Raw genomic sequence first — 19,619 nt, forward strand, 5'->3', positions numbered from 1 at the left:
GTTTGTCTTTCTGTTCCTCGCTTATTTCCCTTAACATAATTAACCTCCACTTCCACCCATGTTGCTGCAAATGGTAGGATTTCATTCTGTTTATGGCTGAATAGTATTCCATTGTGTATAAATCCATTATGCATTGATGGAGACTTAGGTTGATTCCATATTTTGGCTGTTGTTAATAGTGCTGCAGTAAACTTGGGTGTGCAGATACCTCTTAGATATACTGATTTCCTTCCTTTTGGATATGTACCCAGTAGTGAGATTTCTGGATTATTTGGTTGATCTATGTTTAGTTTCTTGAGGAAACTCTATAATTTTTTCTATAGTGGTTATACTAATTTACATTCCCACCAGCAGTGTACTAAAGTGTTCCCCTCTCTCTGCCCTCACCAAGATCTCTTATTGTTTGTCTTTTTGATAGTGGTCATTTTTTTATTTTTATTCATTTTTTTGAGACAAAGTCTCGCTCTGTTGCCCAGGCTGGAGTGCAATGGCGTGATCTCGGCTCACTGCAACCTCTGCCTCCTGGGTTCAAGCGATTCTCCTGCCTCAGCCTCCTGAGTAGCTGGGATTACAGGTGCGTGCCACGACGCCAGGCCAATTTTTGTATTTTTAGTAGAGAGGGGTTTCACTATGTTGGCCAGGCTGGTCTCCAACTCCTGACCTCAGGTGATCCACCTGCCCCGGCCTCCCAAAGTGCTGGGATTACAGGCATGGGCCACCACACCCGGCCTTACTTTTTGAGACAGAGTTTCGCCCTTTCACCCAGGCTGGAGTGAAATGGCGCGATCTCGGCTCACTGCAACCTCCGCCCTCTGGGTTCAAGTGATTTTCCTGCGTCAGCCTCCTGAGTAGCTGGGATTATAGGGGCCTGCCACCACACCTGGATAATTTTTGTATTTTTAGTAGAGACGGAGTTTCACCATGTTGGTGAAATTTGCATGAGATTTAGAAGGTGGAAGTGAAGCACTGCCACTATTCTTGGAAGGTTTTCATGGATGAGCAAATGGCTACATGTGGCATGTCCTTCTCATGGCCAGTGGCAAAAGCCAAGTCATAATATGAAAGCACATGTAAAGTTCTGTTGGGGACCAGCCTCAACACCACCTGTAGGGTACCTGAAGTCCGGTGGCGACAAAGGAATGAGAAGAGACAGGTTAAGAGTTCATAAAGGTGGGAGCCAAGGGGCCAGAGCAAATCAAAAGCTGCAAAGGCGCCAAGCTCTGGTCTCCACACTATTTATTGAGTACAATCACTTAGATCTAAGAAGCAGATGTTCAGGGGTGAAACAGTGAAAGGGGGGCAATGGCAGTTTAGGTACATTTTCTTTGTGCTGAAGCAGCATAAACTTAACTACTGATTTATTCTTTTACTTATCAGAGAGCAGCTGTGGGGAGTGGGCCTAACTAGAAGCCAGCATATCTGGCCACATTCCAATGCTTCAAAGGAGTGTCTTTCTCCTTGAGCACAGTGTTTATAGATAAGAGAGCAGGTCACACTCTGGTCATAGGAACGTGATGGCAATTAGGAGGCTTTCCTCCTCAGAGGCCTCTTGTGGCTTTCCACAACTTATTGTCCCATATTTTTATGGCCAGTTTATGCAGGCACTCCACAAGCCCTTTTCCCAACAGTTCTACCAAAAGTAACTTCCACTCACATTCTATTCGCTAAATCCAATAAATTGCATGTTAGAATGCATGTTAACATTATCTATTGGTTGTGTTTTGACAATTTTCTTTTTTTTTTTTCTTTTTGAGACAGAGTCTCACTGTGTTGCCCACGCTGGAGTGCAGTGGCGCGATCTCAGCTTACTGCAAGATCCATCTCCCAGGTTCACGCCATTCTTCTGCCTCAGCCTCCCGAGTAGCTGGGACTACAGGCACCCACCACCACGCCCAGCTAATTTTTGTATTTTTTTTTTAGTAGAGACGGGGTTTCACCATGTTAGCCAGGATGGTCTCGATCTCCTGACCTCGTGATCCGCCCGCCTCGGCCTCCCAAAGTGCTGGGATTACAGGCATGAGCCACCAAGCCTGGCCAATTTTGATAATTTTCATCCACATCAAATAAGAATAAATATAGCTTATTGGCCGGGCATAGTGGCTGCGCATGCCTGTAGTCCCAGCTACTCAGGAGGCTGAGGCAGGAGAATTTTTAACCTGGGTGGCGGAGGTTGCAGTGAGCCAAGATTGCACCACTGGACTCCAGCCTGGGTGTGTCTCAAAAAAAAAAAAAATGAAGTAGGCCAAATGTGGACTAATAATGAGAATGTGTAATAAATCACATATTATGAATAACCTACTTTTGTCCAAAGAATTTATGAAATTTACATGAAATATTCCCGTTAGAATAAAAGGAAACTGATAGCAGTTGTTGCATCTGTGGAAAGTGAGTGGCTACAGAACTGGATGTTAGGGGAGAATTAATTTTCACATTTTTGGTAATTTTTGAATTTTTATAATGTGTGCTTTTATTAAACAAAAAATTTAGAAGATTTTAAAAAATAAATGTAATGTCAAAATATATACGCCAGATACTCTTTAATCCCACTGTTGGGAATCTGCACAATAGAAACAAAAGAAGGTAAAATTAGAGTTCTAGGTGAACATTAGAAACAACTTCAATGTCTGTAGTAGGTAATGGCCCAAAATACGGACATACATTCCATTCTAGAAATATTCTGAACCTTACAAAGAATGGGTTACATCTTTACGTACTGACCTGGAAAAGTATTCATGATTATTATGAAAAGGACAAGACGCTGTCAAATGTCTGTATGGGGGTAAAAGCTCCTCCAAACACATGCAAAAAATGCTTTCTGTGTACAGGTTGTTTGAGCATAAAGGAAGAAGAAATACACATACTGGTTATCTCAGAGATTTGAGGGAAGGGAGGAAATTGTTTTCATTTTATTTCACTGTTTCAGTGAAATATTTCACTGGTTTCAGTGAAACATGTAATTTTAGAAAATTTATTCTCAATAAAAAAATTTATTCTCAATAATGGTTAATACAATAACTCAGAAACAGCATTAAAATGAGACCAAAATTTACACTTTAGTTATCCACTTTCTCACTTAAAAACATTTGATTTTCAAGGATTATTTAAATAAATAAATACTAATGAAACTGGTGGCTTACCAACTTTTTCCTTAAATAAAACAAAGACAATGTATATTTCCATCAACAAATTTCATGATGCTAGACTAGGATGGGGAGGGAGGAGAGGAAACCTGACTGGCTTCTCGCCAGTATGAAGAGTCTGATGTAAGTTAAGTTGTAATCTATGATTAAACGCCTTCCCGCATTGATAAGGTTTCTTTCCAGAATGAATTCTCTGATGGTGTGAGAAGCTTGAATGATAGCTAAAGGCCTTCCCACATTCCTTACATTCATAGGGTTTCTCACCAGTATGAATTCTTTGATGTTGAATAAGGTGTGAATGAAGTCTAAAGGCCTTACCACATATCATGCATTCATGAGGTTTCTCACCAGTATGAATTCTCTGATGTCTTTTGAGGTGTGAACACTGTCTAAAAGTCTTCCCACATTCCTTACACTCATAGGGTTTCTCACCAGTATGAATCCTCTGATGTAGGGTTAGTTGTAAGCCATCACAAAAAGCCTTCCCACATTCATGACATTCATAAGGTTTCTTGCCAGAATGAATTTTCTGATGGTGTGAGAAGCTTGAGTGATAGCTAAAGGCCTTCCCACATTCCCGACATTCATAGGGTTTCTCACCAGTATGAATTCTCTGATGTATAGTAAGATGTGAGCGATGCCTAAAAGTCTTTCCACATTCTTTACATTCATAAGGTTTCTCTCCAGTATGGAGTCGCAGGTGTTCAGTAAGTTGAAAGCCACGAATAAAAGCCTTCCCACATTGCTTACATTCATAGGGTTTTTCACCAGTATGAAGTCTCTGATGTTGAGTAAGCTGTGATCGCTGTCTAAAGGCCTTCCCACATTCTTTACATTCATAAGGTTTCTCACCAGTGTGAATTCTTTGATGTAGAGTAAGTTCTGAGCCATAATTAAAGGCCTTCCCACATTCGTTACATTCATAGCGTTTTTCACCATTATGAATTCTTAGATGTTTAAGTTGTGAGCAATGAACAAAGGCCTTCCAACATTCTTTACACTCATTGCATTTGTCACCATTTTGAATTGTCTGTTGTTTAAAAAGGCATGGTGTATTAACAATTTCTGTGCATTCTTTACATTCAGAAAGTTCTTTAGAATGAGTTCTTTTGTGGTGACTAAAAAATAAATGGTAACTGAAGATTTTTCTACACTTTTTACATTCAGAGATTTTCTCTCTATCATAAAATTCTTGAGTGAGTAAAGTATGTTGGCTAAAAATGGGCATGTTTTCATGGTTAATCATAAGTTGTCTAAAATAACCCTCCTCTTGTCCCTGATGTTGCTCAAAATGACAGTTGCCTTCCCAGATAGCGCTGAAAATTGATCTCTCAGGACTATGGCTTTTAAATTCTTCCATGTTAACCCACTGGGATAATTCTGTTTCATAAATATCCCTTTTTGGAGATAACTTCTGGGGCTCATCTCTGGATGCCAAGTCTGAAAGATAAGAAATATATTTTAACTCCTGGTTTTGTACTATAAGAGAAATAAAATATCTATGGTAGCAATGAGAGATAACTGCAAATAATTCATATAAGAAATAAAAGGCTTGGAGAACTCTTAAATGGGTAAAGGAGCACAGGGAAATGAGAGCACTCAAATGAAGTAGTTAATTAGGGAAATAATTCAATGGTGCTGAAATTTTGATCCACCTCTGAATTACCTTGAGAGTTTGTTGCAATTATGGATGTTCAGGAAACATTCTAAATCAACTCAATCAGAATCTAAGAGAGTTGGTCTTAGAATGAGGTCAACTGAGTCAGAGTTCATATGTTTAACACTATCAGGCCAAAGGTTTATGCAGCAGATTGTCAGCTGTTGCCAAATATCTATTTTTTTCCCTTTTTAAAAAATATCAATTGAACCCATGGCTTTTTATTTGAGAATAAAGCTGCCAATATAAACTCTGCATTTCCCAAGCTCTTTCACAGCTGAGAATGCCATGCAACTGGGTTCTGCCTAAAGAAATACAGAAATATTATGTAATACCATCTGAGTTCTTTCGTTAAGAGCCAGGTGGCCCACGCCCTATATTGCCTGTTTTCCCTCTTCCTCAACAAAGCTGATGGCAATATTGATTTGCTGTCATGTCTATCAAATAATGGTTTTGCAGAGTAGATACCTTTCTAGCTTGGATTTTAATGCGAGAGAAAATTAAATTTATATGCCTGGGTTATAGACATTGTATCAAAAAAAGAAAATTAATTTAAACATCTATATGGTTTCAATCGCTATTGTTCTGGGTCTCTGTCACAAGCAGCTTAACCTACAAATACAGCTTCCCACAGAAATTTTAAAACTTCAGCTCCTAGGCATGAGAATATAGGGCTTCTGCTAACCAATATAATCTCATTTTGAGTCCAATTCCTTTTTATTCATTAAGCTATAACCAAATTAATCTGTCAACAATTAGGACATGCCAAAGCCTTTTCCTATGTTAGAGCTTCATAGCTTCTTCCATGTGCTAAGAATCTTTTTGCCTAGATTTTTTGTATAGCGGGCTTCATTTCATCTAAGTCTCAGAGTAAAAGTCACTTCCTCAGAATTGTATTCCTGATAATATTATCTAATGAAGTCCTTCCTGAAGTACTACTGGAATTACATATTCATTTATTAATCTTTTTAATATTTGGCCAGGCATGGTGGCTTATACCTGTAATCCCAGAACTTTGGGAGACCTAGGCGGGTAGATCACTTGAGGTCAGGCATTGGAGACCAGCCTGGCCAACATGGTGAAACCTGTCTCTACTAAAAATACAAAAATTAGCTGGACGTGGTGGCGGATGCCTGTAATCCCAGCTACTCGGGAGGCTGAGACAGGAGAATTGCTTGAACCGGGAGGTGGAGGCTGAAGTGAGCCAAGATCATGCCACTGCACTCCAACCTGGGCAACAGAGTAAGACTGTCTCAGAAACAAACAAACAAACAACAAAATATATATATATATAATATATATATATGTTTTTTTACCCATAAAGCTACTCAAGGATAGAGAAATCACTATAAAAACAACCTTTACAATATAATAAGTATTCAATAATCAGTTGCTGAATGAATGAATTATTAAGGAAAAGGAATTAAGATGAAGAGAAACAATACAAAGATAACAATTGACAATCATAATCATTTAATGCCCTTAAATTTGTAATAACTACTGAACATCTCTCCATGCTTCTATTCACTCCTACATCGACTGCACTGATTTTATATATAAACACATACATAAATAAACCATGTACTTGCTTATCTATAACAAGCCACTCCAACTGAGTGGCTTAAAACAGTAAGTCATTTATTATTATTATTACTATTGCTGTTGTAATTATTAGTGAAGACCAAGTCATGCTCTGTCACCCAGGCGAGAGTGAGCGCAGTGGTGCAATCACAGCTCACTGCAGGCCCGACCTCCTGAGCTCAAGAAATCCTCCTACCTCACTCAGCTTTTGGAGAAGCTGAGACTATAGGGGTGTGCCACTATGCCCTGCTAATTTTTAAATCATTTTTTGTAGAGAAAAGGCTCTCACTTTGTTGCCCAGGCCGGTCTTGAACTCCTGGTTTCAAGTGATTCTCCTGCCTCAGCCCCTCGAAGTGCTGAGATTATAGGCACGAGCCACCACACCAGACCCATTTATCATTATTGTCTTTCAGTCCTGAGGATTAACTGAGCTCAGCCAGGCATTCCTTACTTGGCATTTCTCTAGTGACAGTCACACACTGGTCAGGCTGGATCATTCCAATGGCTTCCTCCACCCACATGTCGGGTACCAGGCCTGAGGAAATATGTAAAGCTTGGGACTGTAACAGCTGTGATGCCTGGGGCTTTCTATCCTTATGTGGTCTCTCTACATGGTGTGTCCAGCATAGCTGTTTCAAGGTAAGAGATGCCCTCTTACCTGGCAACTCCAGACTCCAAAAGCATATGGGGAAGTGCAGGCAGGGAGGGCGGGCATATGAGCATATGCCAGGCACAAGCTGTCTACTTTTATGACCTAGCCTCAGAAATCACAAAGTATTTCTATTTATTGGAAACAATTCACTTAGGGCTGTCCCATTTTCAAAGCAGGAAGTTAGACTTCTTTTTTTTTTTTTTTTGGTTTGAGGACTGTCACAGAAGCACAGAAGTGGCAGACATGGTGTGTGTGTGTGTTTTTGGTGGGGGGGGGTGGGGCACAGAGTCTTGCTCTGTAGCCCAGGCTGGAGTGCAATGGTGCGATCTCGGCTCACTGCAACCTCCGCCTCCTGGGTTCAAGTGATTCTCCTGCCTCGGCTTCCCAAGTAGTTGGGATTACAGGTGCTCACCACCTGTAATTTTTGTATTTTTAGTTGAGATTTTTGTAGTTTTAGTTGAGATGGGGTTTCACCATGCTGGCCAGGCTGGTCTCGAACTCCCGACCTCAGGCCATCCACCCGCCTTGGCTTCCCAAAGTGCTGGGATTACAGGTGTGAGCCACCGCACTCGGCCAGCGGACATGTTTACAACAACCACTACACTCATACACATACTTATTTATGTACAGATATAAACACAAACACACACTTTTCTACATCACTTCCTTACAGACGATGTTTTTACTAAGTGAACATACCTGTGAAACCACCACTTAACCAAGAAACAGAACATTACCAGAAACCCCAAGCCTTCAAGGCCCTTCCCAGGTTTACCTTACCCACCAAAGGTAGGCGATATCCTGCCTTCTTACACTATGCAGTGGTTTTTGTCTATTTCTGAATTTCCAATAAATGGAATGATATAGGAGGTACTTTTTTCTCCAGCATCTTCTGTCCAGTACCACATGTGAGGTTCATTTGTAATATTACAAATAGTAGTAGTTTCTTAATTTTCATTACTATATAGCAGCAGTACTCAATGGGTGGTCCAAGGACCACAGAGGGTACCTGAGACCCTATCAGGAAGTCTATAAGGTCAAAGCTATTTTCATACTAATTCCGAGACATTTGCCTTTTTTACTTATTCTCTTACCACTGGACAGGAGAGATTCTGAGAGACTACTAGAAGTGTGATAACGTCACATTCTGAAATCTAACAGAATGCGTGATTATGTATTTCTGTGTGTTCTAGAAGTTTCTAGAGTAGTAGGTTTGGGGAATAAACATGTACTTTCAGAAATTAGCTGACTTTGTTACCAGTACTTCTACTGTACTCTTAAAAACTGTATTTATTTATACCTGCATTTATGTCTGTAGCCTCATTATTGTCCAAGAAATTATTGTGAAATCCCCAAGTTTTCCATGTACCTACATGGAAACAAAAGAATAAATACTTCATTTTAGAATAATATTTTATTATACAATAAAAAGAGAATATCTATTTCTTTTTCTTTTTAGACAGAGTTTCGCTCTTGTTGCCCAAGCTGGAGTGCAATCACACAATCTCAGCTCACTGCAACCCCCGCCTACTGGGTTCAAGCGATTCTCCTGCTTCAGCCTCCCAAGTAGCTGGGATTACAGGCACGTGCCACCATGCCTGGTTAATTTTTTGTATTTTTAGTAGAAACGGGGTTTCACCACTTAGCCAGGCTGGTCTTGAACTCCTGACCTCAGGTGATCCGCCCACCTCGGCCTCCCAAAGTGCTGGGATTACAGGTGTGAGCCACCACACCCAGCAGAGAATATGTATTTCTTATACTTGAAAATGGATATTGGTTTTTTGTTTTGTTTTGAGATGGAGTCTCGCTCTGTCCCCCGGGCTGGAGTGCAATGGTGCGATCTTGGCTCACTGCAACCTCCACTTCCCAGGTTCAAGCGATTCTCCTGCCTCAGCCTCCTGAATAGCTGGGATTACAGGCGTGAACCACCGCATCTGGCTAATTTTTGTATTTTTAGTAGAGATGGGGTTTCACCATGTTGGCCAGGCTGGTCTTGAACTCCTGACCTCAGGTGATCCTCCCGCCTTGGCCTCCCAAAGTGCTGGGATTACAGGCGTAAGCCACCACGCCCAGCCAGTTTTTTGTGTTTTTTTTTGTTTTGTTTTGTTTTTGTTTTTTTTGAGATGGAGTCTTGCTCTGTCACCCAGGCTGGAGTACGGTGGCGCAATCTCGGCTCACTGCGGCCTCTGACTCCCGGGTTCAAGCAATTCTCTGCCTCAGCCTCCCAAGTAGCTGGGATTACAGGCACATGCCACCACATCGGCTAATTTTTTTTGTATTTTTAGTAGAGACGGGGTTTCACCACGTTGGTCAGGCTGGTCTTGAACTCCTGGCCTCAAGTGATTTGCCCACCTCGTCCTCCCAAAGTGCTGGGATTAGAGGTGTGAGCCACCGTGCCTGGCCAGGTTTATTTTTTGAGACTACTTTTATTATTAAAAAATCTGGCCTGGAGTGGTGGCTCACATCTGTAATCCCAGCACTTTGGGAGGCTGAGATGGGAGGATTACTTGAGTCCTGGAGTTTGAGACCAGCCTGGACAACATAGTGAGACCTTGTCTCTACTAAAAAAAAATAAAAATAGAAATGTAGCTGGGTGTAGTGGTGTGTACCTGTGGTCCCAGCTACTTGGGAGGCTGAGGTGGGAAGATTGCTTGAGCCTGAGAGGTCCAGGCTGCAGTGAGCTGTGATCACTCCACTGCACTCCAGCATGGGTAACAGAGTGAGACCCTGTCTCAACAACAACAAAAAAGATCTGTTGTATAACCCTGTGCCCACACTGGACAATACTGCATTGTACACCTAAAATTCCATTAAGAGGGTAGATCTCATGTAAAGTATTTACAACACAAGAAAATTTTTTAAAGTGTTTACATATTTAATAAATACTTTTTTCTATTTCTTAGCATACAGCACCAATGTAAATAAATATTAATTATAGCATCCACAGTTAAATTTCTCAATATTTGTTTTTGAGAAACACTGAGTATTTTTTGAGAAACACTTTATTTCCCACTTTATTGAGGGAAAATTGACAATTAAAATTTATATATTTAAAGGATACAACCTGATGATTTGATATACATTTACATTGTGAAATAATCACCACAGTCAGCTAACTAACCTATTCATCACCTTACATAGTTAACTGTTTTCTTTTTTTTGTGGTAACAAAAAAACATGTACCTTCAGCACGTTTCAAATATACAATACAGTACTGCAAACTAGAGTCATAATATTCTGGAGTCTGAATGTGGATATTCAGAATCCACTCATCTTGCATAACTGAAGCTTTATTTTATTTATTTTTTTGAGATGGAGTCTAGCTCTGTTTCCCAAGCTGGAATGCAGTGGAGCGAACTCAGCTAACTGCAACCTCCACCACCCGGGTTCAAGCGATTTTCCTGACTCAGCCTCTTGAGTAGCTGGGACTACAGGCGTGAGCCACCATGCCCGGCTAATTTTTGTATTTTTAGTAGAGGCAGGGTTTCACTATGTTGGCCAGGCTGGTCTGGAACTTCTGACCTCATGATCCACCCGCCTCAGCCTCCCAAAGTGCTGGGATTACAGGCGTGAGCCACCGTGCCTGGCCAGATTTTGACTATTTTGTTGTTGTTGTTGTTGTTGTTATTGTTGTTGTTGTTATTGTTGTTGATTGAGATGGAGTTTCACTCTTGTTGCCCAGGCTGGAGTGCAATGGTGTGATCTCAGCTCACTGCAACTTCCGACTCCCAGGTTCAAGCTATTCTCCTGCCTCAGCCTCCCCAGTAGCTGGGATTACAGGCGTGTGCCACCACGCCCGGCTAATTTTTTGTATTTTTAGTAGAAACGGAGTTTCACCATGTTACCCAGGCAGGTCTCGAACTCCTGACCTCAGGTGATCCACCCTCCTCTGCCTCCCAAAGTGCTAGGATTAGAGGTATGAGCTGCCACACCTGGTCAAAATTAGACTTTAGGAAAGTTTGTGTCAGCCCCTGTGAGCTTGACAGCTTCCAAATACTTAAAGACTTACCTGATTAGATTCGTGGTGTTATTAACAAGTATGATTTTTTGGCTATTTTATAAGAAAATGTGTCAAAGTCTGGAAGATCTGCATAACTAATTGGAGCAATATTTTCCAAATAACTAATGCATCATGTTACAAAACAGGTACCACAGATAAGAGATCCATTCAAAAAACAAGACAGACTAGTGAGTTTTAATTTAATAGATTAAATTCAGAGGCAGATGTGAGATCCACGTGTCTTCTTTTAATCCAAGCATTAAAGAAACGTGCAAAAAATGAAAAACATTGCCACTTTTCACAATAACTATTTTCGTTTTGTTTTGGAAAATATAACTTATTTATGTTAACATATAGTTTATTATTTTTAAATGAATTAAATGAATATTTCATTTTTCCTAGATTTAATTTCTAAGACAGTTAATATTGAAGGATATAATCTACATATGCAAGAGCTCTTGGGGTTCTCAATAGTTTTTAAGAATATAAAGGCATCCTGAGAATAAAAAGTTTGAGACTGATAACTATATATAGCATTGCATTCTAACACAATTTATTTTCCCATATACCTAATGATGGACATTCTGGTTGCTTCCAATAGTTGACTATTATGATTAGTGCTGCTATGAACATTCCTGTACATTTCTTTTGGTGGAAATAATTACTCTTTTCTGTTAGGTATGCACATCAGAGTGAAATTGCTGCATCATAGGATATAAATTTCTTCAGCTGTAGTTGACATTATGCAACAATTTTCTAATTTAGGCCAGGTGTGGTGGTTCACGCTTGTAATCTCAGCACTTTGGGAGGCTGAGATAGGCATATCACTTGAGGTCAGTAGTTTGAGACCTGCCTGGCCAACATGGTTAAACCCTGTCTCTACTAAAAATACAAAAATTAGCTGGGTGTGGTGGTGGGTGCCTGTAATCCCAGCTACTTGGGAGGCTGAGGCAGAAGAATCGCTTGAACCCAGGAGGTGGAGGTTGCAGTGAGCTGAGATGCGCCAGTGCACTCCAGCCTGGGTGACAGAGCAAGACTCTGTCTCAAAAAAGCAAAAAATAAATAAATAAATAACATTCTAATTTAAAATTCCACTTTCAATTTACTTTCAATTCTTTTGCGTATATACCTAGAAGTAGAATTGCTTGATTATATGGCAATTCTATTTTTAATGTTTTGAGAAATTACCATACTGTTTTCCATAGTGGCTGTATGATATAGCTCGGATATGTGTCCCCTCTAAATCTCATGTGGAATTGTAATCCCCAGTGTTGGAGGTGGGGCCTAGTGGGAAGTAACTGGATTATGGGAGCGGTTTTCTCATAAATGGTTTAGCACCATTCCCTTGGTGCTATCCTCATGATGGTGAGTGAGTTCTCATGATATCTGGTCCTTGAAAGTGTGTGGGCTGGGTGTGGTGGCTCATGCCTGTAATCCCAGCACTCTGGGAGGCCGAGGTGGACAGATTATCTGAGATCAGGAGTTCAAGACCAGGTTGACCATCATGGTGAAACTGTGTCTCTACTAAAAATACAAAATTAGCTGGGTGTGGTGGCAGGCACCTGTAATCCCACCTACTCGGGAGGCTGAGGCAGGAGAATCGCTTGAAACCGAGGTGGAGGTTGCAGTGAGCTGAGATTGCACCATTGCTTTCCAGCCTGGACAACAAGAATGAAACTCCGTTTCAAAAAAAAAAAGAAAATGTGTGGCACCTCCCCACGCCCCCCACTCTCTCTCTTGCTCCTGCTTTCACCATGTAAAGTGCCTGCTCCTGCTTTGCCTTCCACCATGAATAAAAGCTCCCTGAGGCCTTCCTGGAAGCTGAGCAGGGCCATGCTTCCTATAAAGCCTGCAGAACCATGAGCCAATTAAACCTCTTTTCAAATTACCCAGTCTCAGGTATTTACAGCAATGCAAGAATGATCTAATACCTTGTACCATTTTACATTCTCACCAATAGTGCACAAAGGTTCAAATTTCTCCACATTCCTGGCAACACTTGTTATGTTTTTTTTTTAAATTAACCATCCTATTGAGTGTGAGGTGATATCTCATTGTGTGCTTTTTTGTTTGTTTGTTTTTGTTTTCGTTTTTGGTTTTGTTTTTCAGACTGAGTCTCGTTGTCACTCAGGCTGGAGTACAGTGGTGCAATCTCAGCTCACTGCAACCTTCGCCTCCCAGGTTCAAGTGATTCTTGTGCCTCAGCCTCCCAAGTACCTGGGACTACAGGTGCATGCCACCATGCCTGGCTAATTTTTGTATTTTTTGGTAGAGACGGGGTTTCGCCATGTTGGCCAGGCTGATCGCGAACTCCTAACCTCAAGTGATCCACCTGCTTCGGCCTCCCAAAGTGCTGGGATTACAGTCATGAGCCACCGTGCCCAGCCTCATTGTGGTTGTGACTAGCATTTCCTTAATGGCTAGTGATTTTGAACATCTCTTCATGTGCCTGTTGGCCCCAGCAGCACAAGAAGTATGGAGCAGATCAGAATAGCAGTGTAATGGTTCTGAAAACTAAACTGTCATTGGAACTAAAGCCTACAAAAGTAGATCAGATCTTTACTAAATCTAACAGGATAACTACTTGCTCAAATTGATTAAATAGAATCAAGACTCTCTGAAACATAATAACGAAAATATCCAAGGTACAACTGAAAATCACTTCTCATACCAAAAACCAAGAAAACCAAAATCTGAAGGAGAAAAGGCAATCAACTAATGCAAATACAAGGATGAAGCACATGTTGGAATTATCTGACAAAGACTTTAAAACATGCTTCACAAAAAGGCTTTGCCAATCAATTTTAAATTCTCTTGAAACAGTATATTTTATTATTTATTTATGTTTTTTTTTGAGACAGAGTCTCACTCTTGGCGCCCAGGCTGGAGTGCAATGGCATAATCTTGGCTCACTGCAACCTCTGCCTCCCAGGTTCAAGCAATTCTCCTGCCTCAGCTTCCTGAGTAGCTGGGATTATAGGCTGGGCCATTGTGCCCAGCTAATTTTTTGTATTTGTAGTAGAGATGGGGTTTCACCATGTTGGCCAGGCTGGTCTTGAAATCCTGACCTCAGGTAATCCACCCTCCTCAGCCTCCCAAAGTGCTGGGATTACAGGTGTGAGCCACTGCGCCCGGCCTGAGCCACCACGCCTGGCTGAAACAGTGTACTGTAAACTTAAAAACTTCTAGGAGAGTAGATGTTAAATGTTCTCCCACACACAAAAAAATAAGTTTATAAGATAACTATTGTGGAAGAACAAAAAAAGAAGCATGTCAGGTAACAGATATGTTAATTAGCTAGATTTAATCGTTTCACAACATATACATATATCAAAACATATTGTAGACCATAAATACATACAATTTGTATTTTTCAATTAAAAGTATTTAAAAAATAATCTGGCTGGGCGTGGTGGCTCACACCTGTAATCCCAGCACTTTGGGAGGCCAAGGTGGGTGGATCATGAGGTCAGGAGTTTGAGACCAGCCTGACCAACATGGTGAAACCCCGTCCCTACTAAAAATACAAAAATTAGCCAGGCATGGTGGTGGGTACCTGTAATCCCAGCTACTCAGGAGGCTGAGGCAGGAGAATCACTTGAACCCAGAAGACGGAGGGTCCAGTGAGCTGAGATTGCTACTGCACTTCAGCCTGGGTGAAAGAGTGAGACTCCGTCTTAAAACAAAAAAATTAAATAATAATAATAAGAATCCATGAGTCAAAGAGGGAGTCTCAAAGGAAAAAATTTTCAAAACAACTATAAGTACATATATACATCCTTTATATATATGAATATACAGAATAATAACACCACATACAACTTCATACTTATAACTTCAACAAATTAGAAGATATGGACGAAATCTTTGAAAATCACAAACTACCAATACTCTACTAAGATAAAATAGGCAATCTGAATAGTCCTACAACTATTAAATAAATTGAATTTATAATTAAAAAGCTCCCAAAAAGAAATCTCTAGGTTCAGACAGTTGCTCTGGAGAAGTTTACTAAACATTCATGTGATGTTTTACACAACGTCTTCCAGAAAACAGAAGAAAAGACAACACTTCTCAACTCACTTTATAAGGCCAGTATTACTCTGATACCAAAACAAGACTAGGGTGACACAACAAAGAAAATACAAATCAATTATCTTTCATGAACTTAAATGAGAAAATTGTTAACTAAATTTTAGCAAATCAAATCCAACCCAACAATGAATAAAAAGCATAATATACCATGACTAAGTGGGATTTATTCTAGGTATAAGAAGCTAATTTAATATTTAAAAACAGTTCAATGTAATATATTATATAAATATGATAAATAAGAAAAATAACATGATCACATCAATACTCATTCATATTAAAAAAAAAAAAAACCTCCCAGAGCATTAGAGAGGGGAACTCCCTCAACCTTATAATATAAAGTATCTACAAAATTCCTAGAGCTGGCCGGGCGTGGTGTCTCACGCCTGTAATCCCAGTACTTTGGGAGGCTGAGGCGGGTGGATCACGAGGTCAGGAGATCAAGACCATCCTGGCTAACACAGTGAAACCCCGTCTCAACTAAAAATACAAAAAATTAGCCATGCATGGTGGCAGACGCCTGTAGTGCCAGCTACTAGGGAGGCTGAGGCAGGAGAATGGTGTGAGCCTGGGAGGCGGAGCTTGCAGTGAGCTGAGATTGCGTCACTGGACTCCAGCCTGGGGCACAAAGCGAGACTCCGTCTCAGGAAAAAAAAAAAAAAAAAAAAAAAATTCCTAGAGCTAACATCATACATAATGTTAAAAGACTGAATGCTTTCCCTTCAAAATGGGGAAAACACAGGATGTCCACTTTTACCACCCTTATTCAACATAGTATTAGAAGTTCTTGCCACTCCAATAAGGCAAGAAAAAGAAATAAAAGGCATAGATTATGAAATAAAAAGAAAATTATCTATTTGTCGATAATTTGTTTATAAGTAGGAATCTCTAAGAAAAAAAAACTAGTACTAATATGCAAGTTGAGTAAGATCACAAAATATAGGATTAATATATAAAATTAACTACACTCCAATATAAAAATGCAATGCCATTTACAAATGCTCCAAAGAAAATGAAATACTTAGGTATAAAACTAACAAAACTTGTACAGATTCTGTATGATGAAAATTGTAAGATGCTAATAAAAGAAATCAAGGAAAACAAAAATATTTGGAGAGGCACGCTGTGTTCATGCTTTGGAAGACTGAATAGAATAAAGGTGTTCTCTCTTACTTCATCTATAGGCTTAACACAATTCCCATGAAAATCTAAGCAAATTTTTTGTAGATACAGACAAGCTTTTCTAAAACTTATATGGAAAGAAAAAGGTCCTAAGGATAGCCAAAATAATTATGAAAAACAACACAGTGGGAAGAATCACTCCTTCCAATGTTAAGGTTTACTGTATAACTGCAGCCATCATGAAAGGTGGCACTAAAAGAGAGATGGTCACAAAGATCAATGCAACAGAACAGAGAATGCAGAAAGAGAGCCACACAAATTTGCACAACTAAGTTTTGACAAAGGTGAAAAAGCTATTCACTTGAGAAGGGATAACTTTTAAATAAATGCTATGGGCATCCATAGAAAAAAAAGAACCTTGATCTAAATTTCACAACTTTACAAAAATTAACACAAAATGAACCACGAACTTAAATGAAAAATGTAAAACTATAAAATTTCTGGCCAGGCACGGTGGCACATGCCTGTAATCCCAGCACTTTGGGAGGTGGAGGCAGGCAGATCGCCTGAGGTCAGGAGTTCGAGACCAGCCTGGCCAACATGGTGAAACCCCGCCTCTACTAAAAAAAAAAAAAATACAAAAATTAGCTGGGTGTGGTGGCACGTGCCTGTAATTCTAGCTGCTTGCAAGGCTGAGGCAGGAGAATCACTTGAACCTGGGAGGTGGACGTTGCAGTGAGCTGAGATTGCCCCATTGCACTCCAGCCTGGGTGACAGAGCAAGACTCCGTCTCAAAAAAAAAAAAAACAAAAACTATAAAATTTCTAAAAAAGAACATTGGAGAAAATCTTAAGGACCTTTGAGTAGGCAAACAGTTCTTAGACGTGACACTAAATACACATACACACACCAAAAACACAATTCATAAGAGAAAAGAAGATAAACTAGACCTCATCAAAATTAAAAACTTTTGCTCTGCAAAGACCCTGTTAAAAGGATAAAAAGACAAATTACAGGGCAACCCGCTGGGGTCCCCTTCCATGCTGTGGAAGCTTTGTTCTTTCGCTCTTCACGATAAACCTTGCTACCGCTCAAAAAAAGACAAATTACAGACTGGGAGAAAATATTTGCAGGTCATAAATCCAACAAAGGCATTCTGTCTAAGATACAAAAAGAACTTTGAAAACTCAACAATATAAAACTAACCAAATTAGAAAATGGGCAAAAGGCATGGAGAGACATTTCACTAAATAGGATAGACAGATGGCACACACAGATGTTCAACATTACTTGCCATTAAGGAAATTCAAAATTAAAACCACAATAAGATATAATTACCCACCTATTAGAATGGCTACAATGAAAAACAATTAGAACACCAAGTGCTGACTATGATTAGAGAAACTGGATCACACATACATTGCCAGTTAAGAATGTAAGACGGTACAAACATTGTTGACAATAATTTGGCAGCTCCTTGAAAAACTAAAAATGGACTTATTACACCACCCAGCAACTACACTCTTGAGCATTTATCATAAACAAATGAAGACTTGTTTTCATGTACAAGTTTGTACATGAATGTAAAAAACAAAAACCCATATATATGTGTATGTGTATATGAAATAAAAGGAAAAAAGCCATTTTCCAAAGGACAAGTATTGCAGGATTCTATTTATGTAACATTTATGAAATTACATAATTATACAGAGAACAGAACAGTGGTTGCCAAGGTGTATTAGTCTGCTCTCATGCTGCTGATAAAGACATACCCAGGACTGGGTAATTTATAAAGAAAATGGTTTAATGGACTCACAGTTCCATGTGGCTGGGGAGGCCTCACAATCATGGCAGAAGGCAAAGGAAGAGCAAAGGCACATCTTACATGACAGCAGACAGGAGAGAATGAGAGCCAAGCGAAAGGGGAAACCCCTTATAAAACCATCAGATCTTGTGACACTTATTCACTACCACGAGAACAGTATGGGGGAAAGTGCCCCCATGATTCAATTATTTCCCACCTGGTCCCTCCCACAACACGTGGGAATTATGGCAGCCTACAATTCAAGATGAGATTTGGGAAGGGACACAGCCAAACAATATCACAAGGGTTAGGAAAAAGAGAAATGGGATAAGTATAGCTAACACAAGGGAGTCTTGTGAGGTATTGTTGAGTATTTTGGCTATTGTGGTGGTGACACAAGGCTACATGTGATAAAACTGCATAGAGCTATAAATATACACACAGAAATGAGTGCATGTATAACTGGTGAAATCTGAGTAAGTTCTATGAATTGCAGCAATGTCAATTTTTTGGTATGGTATTGTACTATAGTTGGGTAAGGTATTAACCCTGGGGGAAGCTGCAAAGGGGGTACACAGGACTCCCCTGTACATTTCTTTGCAACCTCTTGTGAATCCATAATTATTTCAAAATAAAAAGTCTTTTTTTAAAGAAAATTCATGCCAAGGAAAAGGCCTACCCAGGTATAAAAAAACTGGTAAAGGAATGTTATCTTTACATTAAAATATGTATGAGAATATGTACCATTTTTCCATGATTCCTCTCTATTAGTTTCCTAGGGCTGCCATTAACAAAGTCCCACAAACTGGGTGGCTTAAAACAACACAAATGTATTCTCTCACAGTTCTGTAGCACTTGATTGATTGATTGATTGAGACAGGGTCTTGCTCTGTTACCCAGACTAGAGTGCAATGGCAGAATCATGGCTCTCTGCAGCCTTGACCTCCCAGGCTCAAGCAATACTCCCAACTCAGCCCCTTGAGTAGATGGGACTACAGGTAGCATGCCACCATGCTAGGCTAATTTTTTTTTTTCTTTTTGGTACAGACAGGGTCTCACTATATTGCCCAGACTGGTCTCAAACTCCTAGGCTCAAGCAATCCTTCCACCTTGGCCACCCAAAGTGCTGGGATTACAGGCATGAGCCACCATGTTCAGCCTATAGCACTTCAATGAATCACAGACATCATCAAAGAACTCTAGCCTGTAGAATGGATCTGCCCTTGGTCTATAGCACCCCAAACTTTCCTGGTTGATCTCCTTCCTTCTCAATCATCCCTCTGCCATCTCTACCTCCTCAATATAGTCATATATTACTTTCTCTAACTTTCCTAATTTCTGATCAACACTATTTTTTTGCCTAGTGATTCTATTAGAACATCCATCCATGTATTGTTGATCCCCTGTTAGATTGAAAACGTCTCTATAACACTTTAAAAATGTATTCCCATCACCTAGCAAAGCAACTTGTATGGATCTTTTATCTATTTATTTAGAGACAGCATCTTGCAGTGTCACCTAGACTGGAGTAAAGTGGTACAATCTTGGCTCACTGTAGCCTCAAACTCCTG

General features: G+C 40.0%; 1 protein-coding gene across 10 annotated transcripts in view; it reads right to left on the reverse strand.

Annotated features, from left to right (window-relative positions):
• Positions 1-1,154: 1,154 nt before the first annotated feature.
• The window catches only part of ZNF461 (zinc finger protein 461), a 30,220-nt gene continuing 11,755 nt past the window's right edge, over positions 1,155-19,619 (reverse strand). For 4 of the 10 annotated variants that reach the window (NM_001322823.2, NM_153257.5, NM_001322825.2 and 1 more), the window contains exons 5-6: positions 8,331-8,399; positions 1,155-4,580 (exon numbers count right to left, since the gene is read on the reverse strand). In NM_001322823.2, coding sequence (NP_001309752.1) covers positions 3,190-4,580; positions 8,331-8,399 — 1,460 coding nt within the window. In that variant the 3' untranslated portion in view covers positions 1,155-3,189. The other 6 variants (NM_001322826.2, NM_001297623.3, NM_001322828.2 and 3 more) reach the window with 3 other exon arrangements.

This window comes from Homo sapiens, chromosome 19 (genome assembly GCF_000001405.40).
Source record: "Homo sapiens chromosome 19, GRCh38.p14 Primary Assembly".
NCBI classification, from domain to species: domain Eukaryota; kingdom Metazoa; phylum Chordata; class Mammalia; order Primates; family Hominidae; genus Homo; species Homo sapiens.